Source organism: Homo sapiens, chromosome 8 (assembly GCF_000001405.40).
Source record: "Homo sapiens chromosome 8, GRCh38.p14 Primary Assembly".
In the NCBI taxonomy this organism is placed as follows: Eukaryota; Metazoa; Chordata; class Mammalia; order Primates; family Hominidae; genus Homo; species Homo sapiens.
Window position 1 is genome coordinate 92074944 of NC_000008.11, and position 12180 is coordinate 92087123.

Genomic DNA, 12180 nt, shown 5'->3' on the forward strand with positions numbered 1-12180 from the left:
TTTTCTCTGGTCTTTCAAGAAAAAAAAACAACAACTTTATTTTCCAACACCTTCCTGAGAACTTTAAGAACAAGCCTATAAGCATTTGTAAAAATGGCAAGAGTAGACATTGTGGGGTGGATGCTAGCAGTGATGTTTCCAGAACAGTGGTCACCAAGGGTGAGTATTTCGCTCCCCCTCTTTCTACGTAGTCAGTCAGTCAGTCACAGAACTTAAAATCTCTTCCCAACCACTAGAGTGCCAACCAGTATCACACAACATTTGTGTTGACTCTCAACTTTTTCTTAGCAGTGGATCCTTATGCCCTGGTGCTTCTGCACAAGTCCACTATCCACTAAACCTGGAACAGAGCTGGCTACAGGAGACATGAACTCTCTCCCATAATTCAGGGCTTCCTTGAATTTTCAAATATTGCAGACTTTAAGAAGTCTCTTGCCAAATGGCAATACATTTAGTTTATATTTGCTGTTTTCCTAAATTAAGATATCACCTTTTTTCTTAATGTGTCTATGGAATGAACTCTGCTTAGGAAGTGACATTTGCCTAAAAGTTTTTTAAAAATCCAAATACATCAGAAGAAATAATAAACTGAAAGGCAGTTTTTTGCCTATTTAGTCAACAAACTGTTTCAGAAAACACCATCTCCTCGTTACAATAAACACAGAAATCATGGCATAGTTTTTACTCTTTAACTCCAAGTATTGCTCAGCTTATAACAGATGTATTATGAAACATGGCAAGAAGCACTGCAACAAGAAGAGGGTGAAAAAATTTGGTACTTGATCATTTGATATATTCAGACCCAAAACTATCAAACAGGGTTCCCACCACCAGATTGATCCCCACCCAATCCCCACACCCAAAGATTTCAAAGACAAATGTTTAAAACATACAATAGAACAGGCACTAGAAGAAGGAAGAAAAAAGAAAATCTTTACAATTATAATTTATTGGAAAAAATAGATTGATTTTTCTGGTACGTAAGTAAATTGCAAAATCAAAATATTTGTCTGTTCCTTACCTTGACAATATTCAAAGTTCCCTTTTTTCCGGCAGTCACCTATTACTAAACTCAGTGCTCTCCAAGTGTTTCTTTTGACAGATATCATTCTCCACCAATCGCTCTGCTAATTTCCTCTCTCCTTTTCTGACTGGGACAGAGATTATGTTCACCAGCCCAGAGATCAATCTTTTCTATTGACAACAACAAAGGGAAAAAAAATGCATATATCACAACCAGTCTGAAGTATCATACCCATCTGTTTACATGATAACACTAGGCCAGTTTTGTTATGTTTTGTTTAAAAAAAAAACAGATACAAGCTCTTCTAAATTTTAGAAGAATCCAAAACAATCCCCATTGTCTCAGTTCCTATCATGATGTTTTCTAAAGGACTCTTAATTTTCCAATCATCTGACTCAAAGCTGGATACATTCTCACCCTGAAAGCTCTTCTTTTCTTAAATTGGTTTTAAAGATATGCACATCAATACCCTAAGAGAATGTTACATTTTACCTGTTTCAAAAAAATAAATAATCTGTCAGATATTATGTTTTCTTTAGAAAACAATTTAGACATTATTATTTATGGAATTTTACACACAAGTTAATCCTGTTTCAAAACAAAGTGGTTTGTTTCATTATTCAAATTTTGTTTCGCTGTTCTGAAATTTCAGTATTGCCATTATTAGCACACATAGTTTAAAACAACAGTGAAGAATAATCCTTATGTAATAGAATAGTTAAAAAATATTAATGAAACAAATATTGTTGAATTATTTTACCAAATCAACAAACTTCTACACCTTTTCTTCCTTTTAATAATATAAATTTTCTCATTTTTCCTGCTATATTTGACAAACTTAGAATTTGTTCATTCACAATATTTATTGTCTATTCCTCACCTACTATGATTAAAAATGAGACCACTACTATCACTACTATGAATAGAAAAAGTATTGCTATGTAATTCTTACAAACTAGGAAATATAAGGGTCCAGCACAATCATACACATATAAGGTAGGAACTCAACAAATGCAAGGGAAGAAAGATTTCTAAAAGCAGTCTCAAAAGGAATTACTAAGGCTGTAGCTATTATTTTTTGAGACCAAATTACTTCCTAGAAATTAAAATCGGTGAACATATTCTGATGTAAATAAAACAAGCAGGTTCTATTTTTTAAAAAATCAATGTAGTTTATGTGCCACATTATGATTCTTTTGTGATGCAATCAGTTGTTTCTTGCTCTTTAAGGTTTAAAAATTAAATAAGTACTGATTAATTAAAATACATTACTAGATATTTCTTAGTTGGGAATTGCCTTGCAGTAAGCAAAGATCATTAAAGACAATCAGCTGGATCTTGGAAACATTTAGCTTACTATAAATACTAACAATTTTATTAACAAATGATAAAGCAAAAAATTTCAATGCTATAACCAAGATACATAAATATATGTACACGTATAGGTTGTGTAAGTACTCAAATAGTGGAGTGGGGGAGGGTGCACACAGCGGGGAAGACTGAAAGTAAATACATCTAGATGTTAAATATGATTATTTCTGGAAGATGGCAATGTGAGTAACTTTTCTGCACAATTCTGTTATTTCCAATGTTTCTGTACAAAGGTAAAAAACATTTTATATAGGCTAAACAAATATTGGGAAAAAAGAAAATGTATACTCTTCTTAGATTCAATCATAATATATATTTTGTGCTTCAGCAACCATCAACAAAGGCCATCAGAGAGCCTGACAAAAGTGGATCATGCCCCTATATGAGCCATAGTTAATAATCTCTACTGAGCAAACGAACCAGGCAAAGCATATACAAATCCTCTAGAGTCTAAGTCTATATCTTCCTTCTCATGACTGCTAAATATCAGACCAATGTCTGGGTTTAACAAAAATGGGGTACTTAATCTTGGTTTTGAGGCACATAAAATTACCATGTGATAAACTTTAAGACAAATTTCTCAATTAAAAATGATCTCTCAATTTGGAATATACTGCTTTACTTTTTAACTTCACTTGTATCTATTTTAATCAGAGTTTTTTGAAGTGAATGAAGAAAATTGGCAGGAACATGGTGATAACAAAGTATTTTAAATGTGCATATTTATAAATTCTTAAATGTTAACATAGTGTACAAATACAGTTTCAAACAATATACAATGTAAATCTAAAGTCACCCATGAGGATTTTCACCACTTAACTATTTTATATATGAAACAATATATCACAATCAAAAGGGTAACTAAAAAAAAAAAAAGAGCTAATCTTTGGATTTTTCAAAACAATGACTGGAGTGTCACATTTGTGCTTCATATCTCCAACACATTAAATGCCCTTCCAATATGAAATAATAATAAAATAAGTAATGGTAATAAGCACGATGTTCAGGTATTTCTGAGACCTATTCCGCACTGAAGTCTGTCACATGGAAGTGATAATAAAATCTCTCTATCTTTAATAATTGCTTTGTTCAGATCTGGATGCTCAGCCCTCAAATTTGTAAAACCTCATTACGAGGGGAACATACTGAGAAAAGTTTAAAAGCTAAGCTCCACCAAGAGCAGAATGCCTCAAACAATTTGTAGTTCTACAAGTGTTATTTAAAAGGCTCAACATGTTGTATTACCATGGAAATTGTGGAAAACATACATTCCCAAACAAATATTACTTTTTCTCAATGGTATGAAGTAATGAAAACCACATGTGCAAATCTGCGATCCGTGCAGTAGTTCAAGCTGCAACTAATAGAAAATACAGAAAGTGAACTCTGCTATATAAAGGATTCTTGTTACAGAAATATAATGTGAAAACCAGATGCAGACAGAAAACCTTAATCACAGATGGGAATGTAATCATTGGCATACAGAATACTTTTTTGATCAATCTTAACCATATGCGCAATGTATTTATTTTCTAAGGAATGCAATAACTTGAGAGAACCTTCTATTTGAATTCAGTTAACCTCATATGGCCTTGGCAAATCATTCTTGTATCAGTTTATCTTTCAAAAATTTAATAGGATGTAAAGACTACACACATCAGAATCAACCTCAAAAGAGATCAAGTGCAGTTCCCCATTACTGTATTTCTCAATCACTGCCAGGAATCCTTTCACTGCCTAAACACATTTCTCTAGAGAATTCTATCAACATTTGGGGCACTTTTTCCTTTAGTAAATGATACATGGTTATTCCAAAAATGAGCATTTAAACACACCTCTTTTTATCTATCAACCTGGGTTGAATCAAACCTTAACTCTAACTCTTTTCTTTTCCTTCATAGAAACATTTTATATCATAAAAGCTATTATTTTACATGAACAAATGTACACTTAGTTTTTGTTTCCAAGGGGAATCACCATAAAAGGAACCTGTTATAGCATATCTGACTTAGGAAATATTACCTTGGTAAGTACAGTTTCTGGCACTGGACTGTAGCTTACCTTTGTCAAAGCTTCACCATTTCTTTGTAAGCAATTGTGTGTCCCTCTAATTTGAAGGAGTAGTGAACAGAGCACCATCTATGCCTCACTTCAGGACTATACTCAACTTCCAACAGGAAGTAACTGAGACACTGTGTGATTTGGGTGCCCCTCATCGCAGGTCATGTGAACTAAATGTCATTATCCTAGTTTCACAAGCTTCCTTAAGCTTCCATGCATACACTCATCCAGATTCTCCTTCTCTCTTCTAACTACTCATCTCCTACATTCACACACAGAAACACACAGTCCTTATTCTTGCCTAATCTCACATACAAGACCCTCCATCACTTGGCACTCATCTACAGTTTTCAGCCTCCACTCCAACCACGCCCTTCCAGAGTGCAGCTCTTCTCTGGCTGGATAAACTCCCTGATGGAACACTTCCTCTCATGCTGGTGGCTTCGTTCACTGACTTCACGGCCCTTCCCATAGACTGCTGCACGGCCAGTTCTTCCTCAACCCTCAGGCTTTAGTTCAAGAGTCACCACCTGACAGATGATTTCCCCAACCATTTGAAATAAAGTCTCACTACCATGTCCCCCCACCCTCTGCATCATTCTAACATTGTTTCTTAATTGTCTTAATTATATTTAGCACTACATGAAATAATCTTAGTAACTTCTTTTTTATCTTTCTCCCTCCCCCACCCAAACTGCAAGCTCTGTGAGAGCTAGGGTCTCATCTGGGGGGTGCTCATTACTCTACCCTCCACATTTGGAACTGGACTAGGAACCTAGTTGTAGCCCCAAATGAAAAGAAAAACAAATGAATCCCACTCAATGAAATGCCACAAAAGCCCAATTCAATCCCCATGACTTTGGCAAACCTTTCCGTGGCTACTTCTGTGACCTGTGATCTTTTTCTCTTCTTTATACTATAGTACTTTGGGTCTACATCAGGCTCTGCAACCTTTTACCTGCCAGGTACTGTTCACAGAAGCCCATTCCCACTGGTGCTGTATAGAGATAGGGCAGCATGGAAATCACCCACGACATCCACGGCTATGAAGCCAGCCCTTTGTCCCACACTGAGCAGCAGGACACTGTGACTGGGAACTGCAGCAGAGTCCATACAACCTTTAAGGCATAAGTGCACTCTAGCAGCTTTTTATGCATTGGATTATCTCACAATTGAGCATGTCAGCTGTTGTAGAAATGAGATCCAATCTTAATTTCTTACACCTTTGGACCCTACATTGATGCACTCTATTCATTCCATTGGCAGGGCTGCAAGAGCATGGCCATGTTTATTCAACAATGCCCATACCCAGTGCCTAGCACAGTGCCTGGCACACAAAAGGTGTTCACTAAATACTGACTGAGTAAACAGGGAATAACTGATAATGGAATATGATCTGGTCTTTCTTCAAGCCCCTTTCTCTTGTGATAAGGCATTATTTCAAAATCCTACAAATATTTTTAAGTAACAAATTAATCAGAAGGTAGGCAACCAACTAAGTATCAACAACGCAATATGACCAGTGAGTTAACAAACCAGGCAATTTTAAATGGTAGGAAGCTCTTAAATATCTTCTCTGTTGCAGATATAATTTAATTTTCAAAAAATAAAGTGTTATAAATGACTGTGGCCTACACACGCGGGCCATTTAGAAGCCCACTGTATACGCACTCTGGCTGGATTGGAATCTCAGTTCTTACACTTACTCATCAGCTATTTGACCTTGGACAAGTCACTTAACCTCTCTAAGCTTCAGATTTAAATCTCCAAAGTAAGATAATAACACCTAACTTATCAGGATGATATGAGGAGATAATACTTGTAAAGCGCCTACCTTAGTGCTCCCAGTGCAAGTATTATTTCATCCAGTGTGCTCAGTTCTTATCATTTGATACTAGAAAAGAGGTAGTACCTATTTTAATATAATTAAATATGAAATAAATGAAAGCAAAGGTCACTACTCAAAAATATCAGTACAATCATAATCTTTTTCTTTCTGAAAGTAATTACTGCACTATTAGTGATAAAAACAAAATACCTAGGATCAGTCAACAAAACCAAAATATGTGGAATTAAGCTGCAGGCTCTAAAACATTTTGGTGTGATGAAAAAAAAAACATAAACTGATGTTTGGTAGTTTTTTTTTTTTTTTTTAAATCTAATTTCATCTGGGAAAGACTCTCTCTAGGGAATAAGAGGAGACAGAACCAGAATCATTTACAAAGACTGTTTTCTCCAAATAAAGGCATCTGTTCCATGCCAGCAATTTCCACCTGGAAAAAAAAAAATGGAACTTTGGAAATATCTGCATTCGTGGTTGATGGTCACACATCTCAAGAGGCTATAACAACTGTCCAGTTGCCAGCATGGCCTGGTTGCTGCTGCTCCTATCAACTGATCTCTCTCTCTCTTTTTCCCCCTTTCCTCTCTTCCTCCCTCCCTTTGTCTCTTGTCTCTCAGAAACTTGGAAAGTTGTGGTATTTTATTTATTTATTTATTTATTTGAGATGGAGTCTCACTCTGTCGCCCAGGCTGGAGTGAAGTGGCGCAATCTCCACTCACTGCAAGCTCCGCCTCCCAGGTTCACGCCATTCTCCTGCCTCAGCCTCCCAAGTAGCTGGGACTACAGGCACCTGCCACCACGCCCGGCTAATTTTTTGTATTTTTAGTAGGGACGGGATTTTGCCGTGTTAGCCAGGATGGTCTCGATCTCCTGACCTCGTGATCCGCCCGCCTCAGCCTCCCAAAGTACTGGGATTACAGGCTTGAGCCACCGCGCCTGGCCTAAGTTGTGGTATTTTTGTACTGTAAACAGTAACTTTTCTAAGTGCAGTGAAAGGTTTTGATAGTTTTCCATTTGTACTTTAGTATCATTCCCTGCTGTAATTAGTGTGGCTGACCCTGTTCATGTAGAAAATTCCTACGTGGTAGGGTTTGAAGAATTCCAGGAGAGTAGTAAGCTCTGGAATAGTGAAGTCTTGAAGAAAATCTAGGTTCAGACCTTGCCCCGTCATGTGCACAGGGTCATCTTGGGTAAGAGAGTAGATCTCTAAGAGTGACTTACAAAATTAGCTCACTCACAAGTCGATATTAAGACAATATGAAAACATCATTCCATCAAGTCCTCCCTTGAGGCCCCACACACAGCTGTCTAAAATTGTCCAGTCACTTGCATTAAGAAACTGAAGGCTGCACTGCCGAAACTGTCTCTTTCAATAAAAAGGTTTCCTGAAGAAAAAACAGTGAGACTCTTTACCATTTCCGCATTGTGAGCCACGGCATCTCAGGCTGAGATGGACCTACCTCACTGTTCAGTACCATCTGTGGTTCTGAAGCTGATTCATCAGGCAGTAGAGCAGCTGGAATCCCACACAATGTCAGACAAAAGACCAGACTGGATGGGAAGGAATGTCGGGGGAAGGGTCCTGGAGGAAGAGTACTCAGACTGGGGATCTGTCCAGAAAGCAGATATGGGTATCCAGAGGAAGAGAGGAGGGAGAGAAGGAGGAGGGAGAGAAGGAAGAGGGAGACCGTGGCAACTAAGGGACAACTGGAGGGAATCTGGTAGGGAAAATCTGGAAGCCACTACAATGGTTTTCAGCCTTGTTCGGACCCTTGATCAAAGAAATTGTTCGATCTCATAAAAATGTCCATATACATAAAATTTTGCTTATAATTTCAAGAAGCTTATCCTTTATTAAAGCCCATTTATGAACTTCAGGGTAAGAAAATAAAATAAAAAGTTACAGTGTGCATCTATGAAGATCCAAGTGGCTTGACCACTTCGCAGTTTGCCTAAAGATGGGGTATTTTCCAAAAGCAATGGCAACAAAAGCCAAACTTGACAAATGGGATCTAATTAAACTAAAGAGCTTCTGAACAGCAAAAGAAACTACCATCAGAGTGAACAGGCAACCTACAGAATGGGAGAAAATTTTTGCAATCTACCCATCTGACAAAGGGCTAATATCCAGAATCTACAAGGAACTTAAACAAATTTACAAGAAAAAAACAACCCCATCAAAAAGTGTGTGAAGCATATCAACAGACACTTCTCAAAATAAGACATTTATACAGACAATGAACATGAAAACAAGCTCATCCATCACCACTGGGCATTAAAGAAATGCAAATCAAAACCACAATGAGATACCATCTCACACCAGTTAGAATGGTGATCATTAAAAAGTCAGGAAACAACAGATACTGGAGAGGATGTGGAGAAACAGGAATACTTTTACACTGTTGGTGGGGGTATAAATTAGTTCAACCATTGTGAAAGACAATGTGGCAATTCCTCAAGGGTCTAGAACCAGAAATACCATTTGACCCAGCAATCCCATTGCTGGGTATATACCCAAAGGATTGTAAGTCATTCTACTATAAAGACACATGCACACATATGTTTATTGCAGCACTGTTCACAATAGCAAAGACTTGGAACCAACCCAAACGCCCATCAATGACAGACCGGATAAAGAAAATGTGGCACATATCCACCATGGAATACTACGCAGCCATAAAAAAGAATGAGTTCATGTCCTTTGCAGGGACATGGATGAAGCTGGAAACCATCATTCTCAGCAAACTATCACAAGATCAGAAAGCCAAACAATGCATGTTCTCACTCATAAGTGGGAGTTGAACAATGAGAACACATGGACACAGGGAGGGGAACATCACACACCGGGGCCTGTCGGGGTGGGGGGCTAAGGGAGGGACAGCATTAGGAGAAACACCTCATGTAGATGACAGGTTGATGGTTGCTGCAAACCACCATGGCACATGTATACCTATGTAACAAACCTGCACGTTCTGCACATATATCCCAGAACTTAAAGTATAATAAAAATAAAAATAAAAATAAAAGATGGGGTGTTTTGTTTGGAGTAGGAGGTGGGGGTGGGGGTGGATTTTGCTTTTGTTTTATTGTATGTTTTTTAGTTGCCAAAACTTATAAGCCAAAATATAACAGCAATAAATTGTGCATTCTTTGACAAGAGAACGCAATGAAAGCGACCAAGGTGGAAAGAGGTTGAGAAAAAAAACAACATGCTGTTGGAACCAAAGATTTCACTTTAGTCTCAGCAGTGAAATATTTCAGGACAGTTTCAAGTAAATCACTTGAGTTCAAGGCATGAGCTCTCAATAATTATTTAACAAAGCATTAGAAAGTACCCCAACTGTTCCAGACTCCCACTTTTGAAGGTCTTACAAACCAGCAGAGAAGTCTGAATTGCACGGATGATAGCAGAGTTGGATGTAATAAATTCTATCTTTGGGGAGGAAGGGTCATGAAAGTGTCACCAGAGGCTTAGGAGAGGACAAAGTGAGCCAAGCTTGGCTTCCCTGCAGAAAGAGCTTAGGTGTCCAAACGTGAAGCAACCCAGGGTTTTAGAGAAGGCTGAGAGAGAGAGGTCCAGGAAAGGCCTGGCAAAGCAGGGTGTCATTTGTCTTCAACATCCTCATATCCCCCAGTGTCCATCAGGGCCAGATCGTCTATTAAGCATTTGCTGAATGAAGAAGCAGCCAAAGAGAGACTACTGGGGTTTAGAGAAGGAAGTGATGAACAGTTCCATAGCCATCAAGTCAGATGCCAAGAAAAAGCAACCCTTTACTGAAGGTTGTGCTTCACACATATCACGTCATCCTCATGACCACCCTATGAGGCCATGCCATTATTATCCAGATGAAAATTATTTCTAGATGAAAAGGGTAGCTAAAGGAGATAAATGGTAAAGCACTTGGGAGTTAGGTCTCTTCATCACTATACTCGACTGCCTTCTGGCAGGGAAGAGCAGCATCACTTCCCTCTGGAAGGGCAGAGGCCCAGACCAGTCAACCTGGGCGACACAGGCAAAAGATTTGTAAAATGACTCAGAGTACCAAAGGACATACAGCAAAAAGGCTCCTTCCACCACTACTTCCTGGCCCTGCTTTCTTCCCTAACAGCAAGCACTATTGTCAGATTCTTGTATATACTTGCACAAGTAGAATTCTATGCATTTTTTTGTACAAACACAGCATTCTACAGACATTCTTCTGCTCCTTGCTTTGCTCATTTAATGATATATCTCAGGAACGATTCTGTATCAACACACATAAATGTTTCATTCTTTAAAAAAGATTGATTTCTTTATGCTTAATAATTAGTTCTTATCAAGCATAATTCACTACAGAGGGAGAAGTCTTAAAAAATCCAATTCTGACAGATTTTAGAACAAAACCACAAACTCCAAATATGGTTAAAGTTCAAAAAATAAAAAGAATTGCCAGCATGTTTTTAAATTAAGTGTTATCAGACAAAACAAGATAAAGACCTTGAAATAATATTATCTTAATGAACCATATCCTAAAAGTCCTCACCCAGGTAGATTTTTTTGTTGTTTCTTCCAATAACTAAAATCTCTCACATAGGGGTCAACTAAGAGTGAGCAATAAGGATTGACGGCTCTTTAACATGTTAAAGAAATTCCTTTACTTTTCCAAAACAACTCCTCCATTTAAAAAAAGTATGGCTCAGCACATCATAGTATTTAGTTTACTATCTGTTAATTGTAAAATGGATAGACATTTCTATTAAACTCAGTAGATTTTAATGCATTTTTTGTTCTTTTCATTTAGAGTAGATTTGAAAAATATCATCACATGAAAAAGTATTTGGTCTACAGACAGTGCTTGGGGTACTGAACAAATGAATCTAGATTCAAAAGCACCTTTAAATAACCAAGCTCCCTCTTCCTCCAAGAGCACTGAGCCCAAGTCTGAGGCCTGCTGGTTTACAAGCACTGCTTTCATCAGCTACTCCTTAACTCCATATGCTGTCATCTCTACCTTCTCTCCTTCTTACCATGTTAGAATTCAAAGAAGTTTTATAAATTATTTTACAAACAAAGTCCAATGTTTGAAATTTATAAAGCAGGCTGCACTGGTCAAATGAGAAGTTAAGGGTCCCAGAACCCAGCCCACCTGACCACTTTGCATTCTCCTGCACGGCCTGAGGGCACCTGCAAAAGAGAAACTCAAAGAAGAGTTTGAAATCTGTGGAAAGAGGCAAAACACATGAGGGAGCCAAGTCCTACAGTGGTAAATAACAGATCTTTTATGTAACAACCGCATTTTAAGGAACACCCACCACTTGACAGCCCTGTCACCATCTCCGAAAGGCAGCTGGGACCACCAGAAGCCCTGGGACCGAGGTCTGCAAATGGATTCTGAAGCTCTTCTCTAGAAGCTGTGATTCTATGAGTCTGGGGTAGGGTAACAAAGCTGCCTCTAAACAAACACCTGAAGTGAGTCCCAGCTTCTGGCAAGTTAAGAGCACTTGATAGTAAATCCAGGTTGGTATTAATAACTTCCCCCTCTCTAAATCCACTGCTCTATCCAAGTGCTAATTATTTTTCCTTTGCAATACCTCCTGCCCCTGCCTCTTCCTTCTCATCCCACAAACCCAACGCTGGTCATCCTTCTGCAATATCTAAAACCTAAACTGCAGCAACAAGCTTCTCGCCTGGCCTTGGCCTCCAGTCCATCTGGCCCCTCACATTAGGACCAACTCTTTGCAAACATAACTGTTATTGGATGCAGGGTTTCCTTTTGCCTAGCTCAATTTTTATTTTAACCTTGGTTTTATAAAGATCTATTTTATCACAGACTCCTCTGTTCAAAAGACGCCCAGCTAGAAAATCAAATATATAAAGCAATTTATTATAAAAGCAGAGCTA

General features: G+C 38.1%; 1 protein-coding gene across 21 annotated transcripts in view, besides 1 other annotated feature; it reads right to left on the minus strand.

Annotated features, from left to right (window-relative positions):
• Window positions 1–12180, minus strand: part of RUNX1T1 (RUNX1 partner transcriptional co-repressor 1) — a 148419-nt gene that overhangs the window by 119977 nt on the left and 16262 nt on the right. For 5 of the 21 annotated variants that reach the window (NM_175634.3, NM_001198628.2, NM_001198631.2 and 2 more), the window contains one exon: window positions 1022–1194. The exons of 10 other annotated variants lie outside the window; for them this stretch is intronic. In NM_175634.3, coding sequence (NP_783552.1) covers window positions 1022–1109 — 88 coding nt within the window. In that variant the 5' untranslated portion in view covers window positions 1110–1194. Of the gene's footprint in view, window positions 1–1021; window positions 6351–12180 lie in introns of those variants that run through there. 6 more of the 21 variants (XM_011517351.3, NM_001198627.2, NM_001198625.2 and 3 more) reach the window with 3 other exon arrangements.
• Window positions 7678–7972: a silencer, noted in NCBI's record as "tiled region #8891; K562 Repressive non-DNase unmatched - State 24:Quies". NCBI's record gives its function as "represses a minimal TATA promoter and a strong SV40 promoter by Sharpr-MPRA in K562 cells {active_cell/tissue: K562}" and the evidence as "EXISTENCE:reporter gene assay evidence [ECO:0000049][PMID:27701403]".